Below are 15,642 nucleotides of genomic sequence, written 5' to 3'. Positions count from 1 at the left end.
TATGTGCCTTAAAATAGCAATTATAGCATTACATTTTGGAAATAAAAATAATCTGATGAAATTATTTGCTTCACTTTTCCCCCTAAAAGCTAAGGGGTCCACCACCAAATAGGTAAAGAGTTTCCAAGGCATGATTCTCTTTTTTTCAACAGCTGTCATATATCAGCAAACCCAAGACTCAGAAATCTACCAATTACATTTACCCCATTTTAGCAAAATTATCTTTAAAAGGCAGTAAAGTATAACACAGTCACTGCTGGAGCCAGACTGGCTGGGTTCAAATTCTAACTATGACATTTTTTAGTTATGAAACCTTGGAAAGTTATTTAGATTCTCTGTGCCTCAGTTTCCATATCTTTATAATGGAGATAATAATAGTATCTTCTTCTGGCTCTTATATACAGGTTGCATGAGTTTTAATGTGTATATTTTATAAAAATAGTATATTTTGTAAAATAGTGACTGGCACACAGAAAACACTGTACAAAACTATCATTTTATTATTGTTTTTGAATTTACTATTCCTTTTCTAACCATTAGACCACCAGGGAGAATTTACTATTTAGCTAGTTATAGCTCATTGTGCTTCTTGGTAAAATATTTTTACTGATATTATGAAAATAAATAATTCACATTTCTAGAACACTGTATGTTTTAAGGAATTATACTTTATATATATAATAAGATGATTACAGCTTTCCCAAAGCTAGGTAAACTAATTATGGGAATAATCAAATTCTTAGTTCAATTCATAAATCCATGCTTGAAACAGGCATGGAACATATTAAAAGAGAGAGATCCAAGTCAGTGAAGCCCACAAGATAGAACAGAGGCACACAGTAGGAAAGGTGAGGTAGGGACATGGAATTCTACAAGTGTAGCCTCATCCCCAAAGGCCATGGGGCAAAAGTAGAGCCTCGTACTTGGTTTAAGGCTCAAATTTGGATACTCTCTTGTTCTAGAAGATTTGAAGTACCTGCTTTTTAAAAATGTGACAATACTAATCATCACCAGAAACTAACTCAATTTCCCAAGTAACCTTCCAGGCTGCAAACTCCAAAATACCAATCATTGCATTAACACATTGGTTTATTATGAAATTACTACAGTACAACGACCTAAAATTAAACTAATCTTTCACTCTGCTTTCTACTCTGAAAGGCATTGGTTCAAACCACTTACACATTAACAACACTCACACTATTCCTTTATTTCTCAGTTGCATTTCTGACTTCAAAGCAGTGATTTTTGTGCCACCCATAACCCCCTCCCACTCTCCCACCAAGGATACCCAGATGGTTGTCACAACTAGGGGGTGGTGTGCTGTGCTTCTGTGAGTAGAGGCCAGGGATGCTACTCAATATCATACAGTGCCAAGGACAGTCCCCCACAACAAAGAACTACCTGGCCCAAAATGCTGATAGTGTCGAGGTTGAGAAAACTTGCTTTAGAGTCAGAAGACACAGGCTCAAGTCCAAGCCAGCTATGTAATCCTAAGTAAATCACTTAATCTTTATGAGCCACATCTGTAAAAAGTGGTTAGCAATCCCTTATTAACAGGGTATTGTTAGGATTAATGATATAAAAGCACTGTGTAAACCTTAAAGGGTTTACCAAATGCTAATCTCATCTTAATCCTTTGAACAAAATAGTTTCTCGTTTTAAAAAACTTAATGCTAAATGGAAGTATACAGAAAACAAATGATTACATTGCTTTGTCAGTTTGAGTAGGTGTGTCTCCAACAAGGCCAGCTGTTCATTTATCTTTTCAGGCAGTAGTATCTGCTGTGGCTTCTTAGTCTTTAAAGACTTCTTAGAAGAATCCTAAAAACATTGGTTAAACGTCAAAATGTACTTTAACGTGTTGCAACAACTGTCCTTTTCAAACAACATTCTTTAAATTATGTTTTCATACTTTCACACTTGGTAGATAAAACTATGATCTACATAACAATATTAATTAACAACAATGAATAATAACAGTTATTGTGCTCTAATTAAATGTAGACATAGTGCTGTGTTTCACGGAGATTGACCAAAATGCTGCTTCTTTTCTCTCTCCCTTTCTCCCAGTAACTTCCACCTACCTAACCAGCCCCCTCCAAAACCTGCATTCTCAAAGCAGCTGAGGCTATGTCTCTAAAAATCTTGAAAAGACAATTCCCAGCCTGCCCTCAGAAATGTATCCCTTTATTCTTTTTTCCCTTTCTTTTTCCCAGAAGGAGCTTCTTTACAACTAAGCTAATTGCCTTTGTTACTTTGCCTTTCATTGAAACTTAAGGGGATCAGCAATTAGTGGATTAAGAATCAGCCTGTCTGCCCACTCAGGCTCACTACCATGTTTTCTCTGTCTGAGCCTGAGAACTGACCTGTTAATGTCTCTTGTTCAAAAAAAAAAACTTCCAAGCCCCTTTAGGCTTAAAGGAACCTTGAGTAGCTCTAATAATTTCTGACTCCTATAAATTAACAATCTCTACAATCTTGGATGGAAGAATCACAACCTTCTGCTGGACTGAAAGCTTCAAGAAGAGAGGCATGAGGCCTGTCCTACCATGATGTGGAAGGCCCTGAGTCAAAGCCTGGGTGACATAAAGGGGCTGATAGACTCTGAGAGTAGACACTGCATGGCACAAAAACAAACAAACAAACAAACAAAACCCTCATATTGCTTCCAGCTTAATCAAAAATCCCTCTAGACAAAACATCCTTCCAACTAGGAAAAAAAAAAGTATTATAGCTTAAAAAGTCATCCAGTAAAACAGTGGTGATTTTTAAAAGTTTTTTTGGCAAACAAATGCTTACTTGGAAATTCAAGATATCACAGAGATAGAAATGGAGCTACTCTAACTTAGACAGAGTCAGGGATGAGAGTCTCTACTCCCACCCAAGCCATGGAAGGGACTTCAAGTAATTTCTAGTGCCCTCAGAAACCCAATGAACTGGCCAGGCACTGTGGCTCACACCTGTAATCCCAGAACTTTGGGAGGCCAAGGTGGGAGGATCACCTGAGGTCAGGAGTTCAGGACCAGCCTGGCCAACATGGTGAAACCCCATCTCTACTAAAAATACAAAAATTAGCCAGGTGTGGTGTCATACACCTATAATCCTAGCTACTCAGAGGCTGAGGCAGAAGAATCACTTGAACTGAGGAGGTGGAGGCTACGGTGAGGCAAGATTGCATCACTGCACTCCAGCTTAGACTATAGAGTGAGACTGTGTCAAGAAAGAAAGAGAGAGAGAGAGAGAGAGAGGGAGGGAGGGCGGGCGGGCAGGCAGGCCAGTGAACTAAGTAACATTTCAAAACTTGATCTACAAAACTACATAGTTTCAAGGAAAGGCAATAAGCATAAGTTCTTGTAAGACTCATGCTTGGAAGGCAGATATTAAAAGTTAATCTCAAAAATTAGCAGTCTCATAAAGAAGAGAACACGGGTGTCACAAAGAGTTTCAGAAATCTACTTTGAACACAAAGTAAAAAAACTCTGACATGTATTTGCCACATTCAATGATCCACCCAGAACAATAAAATCTTAGATTTGGAAGAGACTTTAGAGAGCTTTTAAGTCCAGTGTCCAACTGGGTGTAAGAAGCTCTCTATCATCATTAACTGATGGTCGGGACTGGTGATGGGGACTATTCAGCATGCTAGCAGAGATTCCTTTTTCATTTTCTTGACCATAACTAAAAAAAAAAAAAAAAAAAAAAAAAAAAAAAACAAACCCAAAAGCTCTTTACTATAATACTTTACTTATATGTAAATATAACAAATGTAAAACTTACCAATTTTCTAATATGTTTAATAATACTACATTACCCCTAAAAGATGCAAACTAAACGTAGGTTTAAAAATGAGAAACAAAAACAATTACCTCCTCTGGCATTTCTTCTTGTTCATTACTACCATCAAACAGAGACTTGCATCCTGGTGTGATGTCCAACATTTTTTTCCCATAATTTATAATCATTACTGCCAGGTCATATTCCCTCCATGAACGAAGAATCTAATTTAAAATATTTATTAATTATCTCTGTTGGACATTCTTGTCTATTTTCAAGTATAATGCATCATTTTCCATAAATTCAAAAGCCCCATAGAGTTTTCAGTCTAAGAATCCCCCTTTTATTTTAAAAAAAACCGTAAGTTTACCTCCAGATCGTATTAACACATTGAGTGCAACTAAAGATGCATAATTCAACTATTTTAAGTAAAGGACTAATAACGGGATCTCATCAATAACAAACTTCCCATATCTCTGGGCCACACAGCCATATACCTTCTGATACAGTGAGTTAACTATTAAGAAAACAATTCCTTTCAAAAAATCCATATTTAAAAAGTCATTTGTAAAGGCCACATCACCACCACTTCTTATCTTGAGTTGCTTTCTATAGGAAATGGCATAACTACCGACCTCATGATGTCTTAAGGAGCATTTATATCACTAAGTGATTTACAAGACATTCTGCTAGAGGACTAGGCTAGATAGAAGCTGTTTTTGGCAGATTCCCCATCAACCCTAGGGGAAGTGTGCACTGTAGTCGTAAGGGGAAGAGGCCTATTTAGCCTCTCACATCCCCTAATACCAGTTCTTTGGCCTTATCTATTCTGGCCCTTACCTACCTTTCTAAAGTAATCTTCCACCACTCATCTCCTTGTACTTTAATCTTACAAAATATTGAGCCAATTATAAAATCTGACAGTCACCATTGTGTTACAGGACTTCATGTCTTCCCACAGCTGAGCCATTTCCCAGAACAGCTGTCTGCACCTTGTTTATACAGCTTCACCTTGCCATTAAAACCTTGGCTCTAGCATCAACTTCAGAAAAGCTGCCCTGGCCAGCAATCTGATTTGCATATATTCTGCTGTAGAGAAGGGTCAAAAAAGGGGACACACTCATTGTGGGCCCCTTAGGGCAACTAGGAGTATAAATAAGTTTGTGTGAATTTGTTATATGTAGATATATTCTGTTGAGTATGTTAGTATTTAAGACAAGTGTATTAGTTTGTTCTCACACTTATAATAAAGACATACCCAAGATGGGGTAATTTATAAAGGAAAGAGGTTTAATTGACTCACAATTTAACAGGGCTGGGGAGGCCTCACAATCACGGCTGAAGGTGAATGAGGGGCAAAGTCATGTCTTACATGGTGGCAAGCAAGAGGGCCTGTATAGGGGAACTCCCCTTTATAAAACTGTCGGATATCGTGAGACTTATTCACTATCACCAGAACAGCACAGGAAAGACCCGCCCCCATGATTCAATTACTTCACACCAGGTCCCTCCTACGACATGTGGGAATTATAGGAGCTACAATTCAAGATGAGATTTGGGTGGGGAGACAGTCAAACCATATCAATAAATAACAACTGTTACTTCTCATGCAGGGAAGGGATATATAAAGTGGCTGAACAATAATGAGTGGCTGCTTAGACCTGAGAAGCCCTATCTAATGCTAAGAACTGGAACACGTATCTTTGGGACCAGGGCAAAGGCACTAAACTAATAGTGACTGTGGAACAGAGTGTGGGAAAGAAAGTGCCAAATAAATTTTGTGAGTTTTTTTAAAAATTTTTATTTGTTTACTTATTTTATATTTTGTAGAGGCAGGGTCTCTAAAAATCCCATGCCTGGGATTATAGGCATGAGTCACCATGTCCGGCCAAAATAAATTTTGAATAGGTAGGTAGGGTTAGGTCATGCAAAACCTTGAATGTTCAGCAAAACAGTCAAATCTCATTATGAAATGTATATGAGCAGAAGAAAGTTTTCCTATAAGGAAATAGAATTGAGCTAAGTTTTGCTATAAGAAAACAGAAACGAGTCTGCTCTCCACTCTACTTAATTTTGCTTTCTGACATATTTAGGTCCTAAGCTTACAGATAACTGGGCAATCTTTTCCCCTTCTTTTAATATGCTAGTAGAAAATAATAAATGATAAAGAATTTTTTCCAGCCAAAGGAAAAACAGAGGACCAATTCTATTTAACATACCAAATGATGAACAGAAACAGAGTATGCCAGATGTTTAGCATAACAATTTTTAAATCATGCAAAAGTAATGACACATTGAAGATGGCAAATCTCACAAGTGGCATGTTAGAAAAAAAATACTGATGCTTAAAGAAGAAAGACTCAACCATCTGAAAAGATTACCAATTTTTAAAACAGAACAGAGAAAAGAAACAGAGCCATTTGACTAATCAGGTTTTACATGTCCTAAGAGAAAATCCAACATTGTTTATATCAAATGAACACCTGAAATCTGGGATTCAGGGTTAGTCCAGGATCCTGGAACTGTAGGCTAGACAGGAGGAAGCTTCTAGAATGGCAATTCTCAACATATTAGGGACAAAATCAAGTCAAATATCAAAATCGTGACATTAATATATTACTTGTTTTTGAATGTTTTCAGAACACATTCAGGCTGGTTGCCGTGGCTTATGCCTGTAATCCCAGCATTTTGGGAAGTGCAGGCAGGTGGATTGCATGAGCTCAGGAGTTCAAGACCAGCCTGAGCAACATGGCAAAACCCTGTCTCTACAAAAAATACAAAAATTAGCCAGGTGTGGTGACACATGGCTGTAGTCCCAGCTACTCAGAGGCTGATATGCGAGGATTGCTTGAGCTAGGGAGGTGGAGATTGCAGTGAGCTGAGATCATGCCTGATCTCTGTCTCAGAAACAAACAAACAAACACACATTCAGGGTCATTTCTACAGTAACATCACTTGGATTTCAATGATTCCCCAAATGGGAGAAGAAGGGGGTGGGGGTCCTGGCCAGCAAGTCAGGAAATGCACAGAGTCAGCTAGAAGCTGGTGTGTGCTAAGAGAGAAAATTCATCCAAAGCTGAGAAAGGTAGCATGTGAATTCAAGGACGTCAACCTCCACTGGGTCCCAAATGCTGGTTGGAAGTCCAATTTATTCTAGGTCAGCATTCTCTCCCATCTTCTTCAGTGGCGGCCCAAACCCACCCATTCTCAAATCTTTGAAACCCACCCTTACCCATCTCCTCCTAACTGTCAGCAAATGACCTTGCTTCCTGTCCACAGAGGAAATGTTAAGGGAAGTGCTTCTCTCCCATCCACAAACCTATCATCACACGTCTGTAACTACAACCACCCTTCCCTCCTTGAGAGACGAGAAGCGAATCTCCTGTCCAGACTAACCCCTCCCACATGTGCTGGGATCTCACTGCCTCATGCTTTCAGGGATCCTGCTCTAGTCCTCACACCACCTCTCTTAAGTCTTCATCCTTTCCCTTTCCTGGTCCCTCCTCATCAATATTTCAATGTTTTGGAGTATGTCGATAAGCTGAATTGGTTTTTTTGGATTGTTTTAGCAGAAGTTGCCATTGGCAAGATGCAAACCACAAGCTGCCTTGAAATAGAGTTTCTTTCTTTCTTCTGGAAGACATTGCAGTAGCCCCTGTTAGTTACTTAAACGTAAGTAGTTGTGTTCAGTGCCCTGGAAAGAGAGTGTAACCTGGCCTTCCCTTATTTGAAAAAGACACCCCTCCCCTGGAAATACTCATTGATGGAAGAGCTTTTTGGGGGTCGGAGTAGGCCAAGCAGATAAATATATTCCTTTTTTTTTTGAGACAAAGTCTTGCTCTGTTGCCCAGGCTGGAGTACAGTGGCATAATCTCGGCTCACTGCAAGCTCTGCCTCCCGGGTTCACGCCATTCTCCTGCCTCAGCCTCCCGAGTAGCTGGGACTACAGGCGCCCGCCACCTTGCCTGGCTAATTTTTTGTATTTTTAGTAAAGACAGGGTTTCACCGTGTTAGCCAGGATGGTCTTGATCTCCTGACCTCGTGATCAGCCCAGCTTGGCCTCCAAAGTGCTGGGATTACAGGCGTGAGCCACCACGCCCCGCCCGCAGATAAATATATTCTAAAGAAAAGTAACCTTGGAAGATAGACTTTGGGCCCAGCACAACACGAATTAATGTGTGTGTGATCGTAGCACTGGAAAAAGAAAAGGGTGCTTTGGATTGCATGGGACCCCTGCTTTCAATGGTGTCACCATGTGACAATGACAGAACTAACAGCAGCAGGAATGTTCTTGAGGTTGGGAGGGATTAGGAATGACAGAATAGCTTTAGACTAATCAAACTCTTCAGTTATCCCTCTTGTCTAGTATTTGGAAGAAGGATTGACCTCTTGGACTAAGTGCACCCTTGAAATTGTTAGATAATTCTCTCCCCTTCTCACTCTATGCACCATCCCCCTGGTGGTGGCATCTATTTCTACTGCTTCAATTGCAGTCCTGATACTAATGACTTCTTTGTCTTTACATACATTTCACATCTCCCGAGCTCCAGGCTGATAGGTCCTGTTATATAAAGGCCACTTCTTTGGATATCCTATCGACTCCAAAATTCAATCTGTTTAAAACTCATTACCTTCTCCCCATTCACTACACAAAGTTACTCCTCATGCAGGGTTCAATGAGTAGTGTTATATTCACCCAACTGCCCAGACCAGGTAGCTGAATATTACCACTGCCTCTTCCCTCTCCCTCCTTTATTCTTGTCTATTTAGAGTTTCAGATTCTCAATTCTATCTCATAAATAACTCATGAATCCTTTCCATTCTCTCTACCTCCACTTTTTCCATACCAGTTTAGTTTATCTTCTCTCTGAACTCATCTCTGCCTCAGGTCTTATCTCCTCTAATTATTAGCTGTTGTACAACAAGAACAATTTCTTTTTTCTAAAATACAAATCTCCTTATGTCATTCCTGGGTGTGAAACCCGTCAATGGCACCTCCTTGACCCCACAAGATGGCCATTTATCACCTGGTACCTGTCCATTGCTCAACCTTTTAAGGCAACTGAAATATTGCATTATATCCTCCATGATAAAAGATAAATTTGATTATTTTATCAAACTCTAAAATTATTCCATATTTTCTAACTGATTACTCCCTGGAGTGATTAACGTTAATAATCCTATGCCTTCACATATTTTCCCAACCTAATATTTGCCTTTGAGCTCTCCTTACAGTGTCTTGTCATAAAAATGTTTTAATCATCATGTAATCTAATTATCTTTTTCTGTTTATCTTTTTCTTTTTACACTTTAAGTTCTAGGGTACATGTGTACAACATGCAGTTTTGTTATGTATGTCTACATGTGCCATGTTGGTGTGCTGCGCCCATTAACTCGTCATTTACATTAGATATATCTCCTAATGCTATCCCTCCCCCCTCCCACCACCCCACGACAGGCCCCGGTGTGTGATGTTCCCTTTCCTGTGTCCAAGTGTTCTCATTGTTCAATTCCCACCTATGAGTGAGAATATGTGGTGTTTGGTTTTTTGTCTTTGGGATAGTTTGCTGAGAATGATGGTTTCCAGCTTCATCGATGTCCCCACAAAGGACATGAACTCATCCTTTTTATGGCTACATAGTATTCCATGGTATATATGTGCCACATTTTCTTAATCCAATCTATCATTGTTGGACATTTGGCTTGGTTCCAAGTCTTTGCTATTGTGAATAGTGCCGCAATAAACATATGTGTGCATGTGTCTTTATAGCAGCATGATTTATAATCCTTTGGGTATATACCCAGTAATGGGATGGCTGGGTCAAATGGTATTTCTAGTTCTAGATCCCTGAGGAATCGCCACACTGTCTTCCACAATGGTTGAACTAGTTTACAGTCCCACCAACTGTGTAAAAGTGTTCCTATTTCTCCACATCCTCTCCAGCACCTCTTGTTTCCTGACTTTTTAATGATCACCATTCTAACTGGTGTGAGATGGTATCTCATTGTGGTTTTGATTTGCATTTCTCTGATGGCCAGTGATGATGAGCATTTTTTCATGTGTCTTTTGGCTGCATAGATGTCTTCTTTTGAGAAGTGTCTGTTCATGTCCTTCCTCCACTTGTTGATGGGGTTGTTTATTTTTTTCTTGTAAATTTGTTTGAGTTCTTTGTAGATTCCGGATATTAGCCCTTTGTCAGATGGATAGATTGCAAAAATTTTCTCCCATTCTGTAGGTTGCCTGTTCACTCTGATGGTAGTTTCTTTTGCTGTGCAGAAGCTCTTTAGTTTAATTAGATCCCATTTGTCAATTTTGGCTTTTGTTGCCATTGCTATTGGTGTTTTAGACATGAAGTCCTTGCCCATGCCTATGTCCTGAATGGTATTGCCTAGGTTTTCTTCTAGGGTTTTTATGGTTTTAGGTCTAACATTTAAGTCTTTAATCCATCTTGAATTAATTTTTGTGTAAGGTATAAGGAAGGGATCCAGTTTCAGCTTTCTACATATGGCTAGCAAGTTTTCCCAGCACCATTTATTAAATAGGGAATCCTTTCCCCACTTTTTGTTTTTGTCAGGTTTGTCAAAGATCAGATGGTTGTAGATGTGTGGTATTATTTCTGAGGGCTCTGTTCTGTTCCATTGATCTATATCTCTCTTTTGGTACCACTACCATGCTGTTTTGGTTACTGTAGCCTTGTAGTAGAGTTTGAAGTCAGGTAGAGTGATGCCTCCAGCTTTGTTCTTTTGGCTTAGGATTGTCTTGGCAATGCAGGCTCTTTTTTGGTTCCATATGAACTTTAAAGTAGTTTTTTTCCAATTCTGTGAAGAAAGTCATTGGTAGCTTGATGGGGATGGCATTGAATCTATAAATTACCTTGGGCAGTATGGCCATTTTCACAATATTGATTCTTCCTATCCATGAGCATGGAATGTTCTTCCATTTGTTTGTGTCCTCTTTTATTTCATTGAGCAGTGGTTTGTAGTTCTCCTTGAAGAGGTCCTTCACATCCCTTGTAAGTTGTATTTCTAGGTATTTTATTCTCTTTGAAGCAATTGTGAATGGGAGTTCACTCATGATTTGGCTGTTTGTCTGTTATTGGTGTATAAGAATACTTGTGATTTTTGCACATTGATTTTGTATCCTGAGACTTTGCTGAAGTTGCTTATCAGCTTAAGGAGATTTTGGGCTGAGATGATGAGGTTTTCTACATATACAATCATGTCATCTGCAAACAGGGACAATTTGACTTCCTCTTTTCCTAATTGAATACCCTTTATTTCTTTCTCCTGCCTGATTGCCCTGGCCAAAACTTCCAACACTATGTTGAATAGGTGTGGTGAGAGAGGGCATCCCTGTCTTGTGCCAGTTTTCAAAGGGAATGCTTCCAGTTTTTGCCCATTCAGTATGATACTGGCTGTGGGTTTGTCATAAATAGCTCTTATTATTTTGAGATATGTCCCATCAATACCTAATTTATTGAGAGTTCTTAGCATGAAGGGCTGTTGAATTTTGTCAAAGGCCTTTTCTGCATCTATTGAGATAATCATGTGATTTTTGTCTTTGGTTCTATTTATATGCTGGATTATGTTTATTGATTTGCATATGTTGAACCAGCCTTGCATCCCAGGGATGAAGCCCCCTTGATCATGGTGGATAAGCTTTTTGATGTGCTGCTGGATTCCGTTTGCCAGCATTTTATTGAGGATTTTCACATCGATGTTCATCAGGGATATTGGTCTAAAATTCTCTTTTTTTGTTGTGTCTCTGCCCGGCTTTGGTATCAGGATGACACTGGCCTCATAAAATGAGTTAGGGAGGATTCCCTCTTTTTCTATTGATTGGAATAGTTTCAGAAGGAATGGTACCCGCTCCTCCTTGTACCTCTGGTAGAATTCGGCTGTGAATCCATCTGGTCCTGGACTTTTTTTGGTTGCTAGGCTATTAATTATTGCCTCAATTTCAGAGCCTGTTCTATTCATGGATTCATCTTCTTCCTGGTTTAGTCTTGGGAGGGTCTATGTGTCCAGGAATTTATCCATTTCTTCTAGATTTTCTAGTTTATTTGCATATAGGTGTTTATAGTATTCTCTGCTGATAGTTTGTATCTCTGTGAGATTGGTGGTGATATCCCCTTTATCATTTTTTATTGTGTCTATTTGCTTCTTGTCTCTTTTCTTCTTTATTAGTCTTGGTAGTGGTCTATCAATTTTGTTGGTCTTTTCAAAAAACCAGCTCCTGGATTCATTGATTTTTTGAAGGTTTTTTGTGTCTCTATCTCCTTCAGTTCTACTCTGATCTTAGTTATTTCTTGTCTTCTGCTAGCTTTTGAATGTGTTCGCTCTTGCTTCTCTAGTTCTTTTAATTGTGATGCTAGGGTGTCAATTTTAGATCTTTCCTGCTTTCTCTTGTGCGCATTTAGTGCTATAAATTTCCCTCTACACACTGCCTTAAATGTGTCCCAGAGATTCTGGTATGTTGTGTCTATGTTCTCATTGGTTTCAAAGAACATCTTTATTTCTCCCTTCATTTCATTATGTACCCAGTAGTCATTCAGGAGCAGGTTGTTCAGTTTCCATGTAGTTAAGCAGTTTTGAGTGAGTTTTTAATCTTGAGTTCTTGTTTGATTGCTCTGTGGTCTCAGAGACAGCTGTTATAATTTCTATTCTTTTACATTTGCTAAGGAGTGCTTTACTTCCAACTATGTGGTCAATTTTGGAATAAGTGCAATGTGTTGCTGAGAATAATGTATATTCTGTTGATTTGGGGTGGAGAGTTCTGTAGATGTCTATTAGGTCTGCCTGGTGCAGAGCTGAGTTCAGTTCCTGTATATCCTTTTTAACTTTCTGTCTCATTGATCTGTCTAAAGTTGACAGTGTGGTGTTAAGGTCTCCCATTATTATTATGTGGGAGTCTAAGTCTCTTTGTAGGTCTCTAAGGACTTGCTTTACGAATCTGGGTGCTTCTGTATTGGGTGCATATATATTTAGGATAGTTAGCTCTTCTTGTTTAATTGATCCCTTTACCATTATGTAATGGTCTTCTTTGTCTCTTTTGATCTCTGTTGGTTTACTAGGATTGCAACTCCTTCCTTTTTATGTTTTCCATGTGCTTAGTAGATCTTCCTCCATCCCTTCATTTTGAGCCTATGTGTGGTCTCCGCATGTGAGATGGGTCTCCTGAATACAGCACACCAATGGGTCTTGACTCTTTATCCAACTTGCCAGTCTGTGTCTTTTAATTGGAGCATTTAGCCCATTTACATTTAAGGTTAATATTGCTATGTGTGAATTTGATCATGTTATTATAATCATAGCTAGTTATTTTGCTCATTAGTTGATGCAGTTTCTTCCTAGCATCGATGGTCTTTACAATTTGGCATGTTTTTGCAGTGGCTGGTACTGGTTGTTCCTTTCCATGTTTAGTGCTCCCTTCAGGAGCTCTTGTAGGGCAGGCCTGGTGGTGACAAAATCTCTCAGCATTTGCTTGTCTGTAAAGGATTTTATTTTTCCTTCACTTATGAAGCTTAGTTTGGCTGGATATGAAATTCTAGGTTTAAAATTCTTTTCTTTAAGAATGTTGAATATTGGCCCCCACTCTCTTCTGGCTTGTAGAGTTTCTGCTGAGAGATCCACTGTTAGTCTGATGGGCTTCCCTTTGTGGGTAACCCTACCTTTCTCTCTGGCTTAACATTTTTTCCTTCATTTCAACTTTGGTGAATCTGACCATTATGTGTCTTGGAGTTGCTCTTCTTGAGGAGTATCTTTGTGGCGTTCTCTGTAACCCTGAATTTGAATGCTGGCCTGCCTTGCTAGGTTGGGGAAGTTCTCCCGGATAATATCCTGCAGAGTGTTTTCCAACCTGGTTCCATTCTCCCCGTCACTTTCAGGTACACCAATCAGATGTAGATTTGGTCTTTTCACATAGTCCCATATTTCTTGGAGGCTTTGTTCATTTATTTTTACTCTTTTTTCTCTAAACTTCTCTTCTCACTTCATTTCATTCATTTGATCTTCAATCACTGTTGATCGAATCAACTTCAATCCAGTTGATCAAATCGACTACTGAAGGTTGTGCATTCATCAGTAGTTCTCGTGTCATGGTTTTCAGCTCCATCAGGTCATTTAAGGACTTCTCTACACTGGTTATTCTAGTTAGCCATTTGTCTAATCTTTTTTCAAGGTTTTTAGCTTCTTTGCGATGGGTTTTAACTTCCTCCCTTAGCTTGGAGAAGTTTGATCATCTGAAGCCTTCTTCTCTCAACTCGTCAAAGTCATTCTCCGTCCAGCTTTGTTCCACTGCTGGTGAGGAGCTGCATTCCTTTGGAGGGAGAGAGCCACTCTGATTTTTAGAATTTTCAGCTTTTCTGCTATGTTTTTTCCCCATCTTTGTGGTTTTATGTAACTTTGGTCTTTGATGATGGTGACGTACAGATGGGGTTTTGGTGTGGATGTCCTTTCTGTTTGTTAGTTTTTCTTCTAACAGTCAGGACCCTCAGCTGCAGGTCTGTTGGAGTTTGCTGGAGGTCCACTCCAGACGCTGTTTGCCTGGGTATCAGCAGCGGAGGCTGCAGAACAGCAAATATTGCTGAACAGCGAATGTTGCTGCCTGATCATTCCTCTGGAAGCTTCGTCTCAGAGGGGTACCCAGCCATGTGAGGTGTCAGTCTGCCCCTACTGGGGGGTGCCTCCCAGTTAGGCTACTCAGGGGTCACGGACCCACTTGAGGAGGCAGTCTGTCCTTTCTCAGATCTCAAACTCCATGCTGGGAGAACCACTACTCTCTTCAAAGCTGTCAGACAGGGAAATTTAAGTCTGCAGAGGTTTCTGCTGCCTTTTGTTCGACTGTGCCCTGCCCCCACAGGTGGAATCTACAGAGGCAGGCAGGCCTCCTTGAGCTGCGGTGGGCTCCACCCAGTTCGAACTTCCCAGCTGCTTTGTTTACCTACTCAAGCCTCAGCAATGGCAGGTGCCCCTCCCCCAGCCTTGCTGCCACCTTGCAGCTCGGTCTCAGACTGCTGTGCTAGCAATGAGTGAGGCTCTGTGGCCGTGGGACCCTCTGAGCCATGCGCGGGATATAATCTCCTGGTGTGCCATTTGCTAAGACTGTTGGAAAAGCACAGTATTAGGGTGGGAGTGACCCGATTTTCCAGGTGCCGTCTGTCATAGCTTCCCTTGGCTAGGAAACGGAATTCCCTGACCCCTTGTGCTTCCTGGGTAAGGCAATGCCTCACCCTGCTTCGGCTCACGCTCAGTGGGCTGCACCCACTGTCCGACAAGCCCCAGTGAGATGAACCCAGTACCTCAGTTGGAAATGCAGAAATCACCCATTTTCTGCATTGCTCACACTGGGAGCTGTAGACTGGAGCTGTTCCTATTCAGCCATCTTGGGAGCCCCCACCCCCCCATAACTCCCTGTTTATCTTTTGAATTTTGTGGCTTATCAAAGAAAGTGTCCCCTGACTCCAAGGCCATATAAATATCCTTAAATCCACCTAGACTTCATTTTGTTTATGGCATGAGACAAGGTTCTGGCTTTGTTTACTTTCAGATGAAGAGTCAAGTTATACCAGCACCTTTCATTAAATAAACTATTATAACACACTATCATTTTCTCAATGAATCAAATTGCTACCTTTGTCATATATTAATTTCTTCTGTAGACTTAGGGGCCATTCCTGGACTCTCTATTCTATTGCACCGAACTGTTTGCCCATCACTCTGTGACATCATTTTTTTATTAAAGTGGCCTTATGGCAAACTTTAATATCTATTGAGAACTTTTAAATTAATCAGGTTCAGAGAAACCCAATTAGAATTCTAATTAGAACTGTATTAAATTTAAATATTATTTTAGGAAGGATCTGC

At 39.9% G+C, this 15,642-nt stretch overlaps 1 protein-coding gene across 2 annotated transcripts in view; it reads right to left on the bottom strand.

Moving 5' to 3' along the window:
* The window catches only part of CFAP54 (cilia and flagella associated protein 54), a 385,979-nt gene that overhangs the window by 249,965 nt on the left and 120,372 nt on the right, over positions 1-15,642 (bottom strand). For both annotated transcript variants that reach the window (NM_001367885.1, NM_001306084.2), the window contains exons 27-28: positions 3,870-4,001; positions 1,710-1,824 (exon numbers count right to left, since the gene is read on the bottom strand). In NM_001367885.1, the coding sequence (NP_001354814.1) occupies positions 1,710-1,824; positions 3,870-4,001 (247 nt within the window). The remainder of the gene's footprint in view (positions 1-1,709; positions 1,825-3,869; positions 4,002-15,642) is intronic.

The sequence above is a fragment of the Homo sapiens genome, chromosome 12, assembly GCF_000001405.40.
Source record: "Homo sapiens chromosome 12, GRCh38.p14 Primary Assembly".
In the NCBI taxonomy this organism is placed as follows: domain Eukaryota; kingdom Metazoa; phylum Chordata; class Mammalia; order Primates; family Hominidae; genus Homo; species Homo sapiens.
The sequence above is the reverse complement of the archived record's forward strand: the minus strand, read 5'-3'. Positions and strand labels throughout refer to the sequence as shown.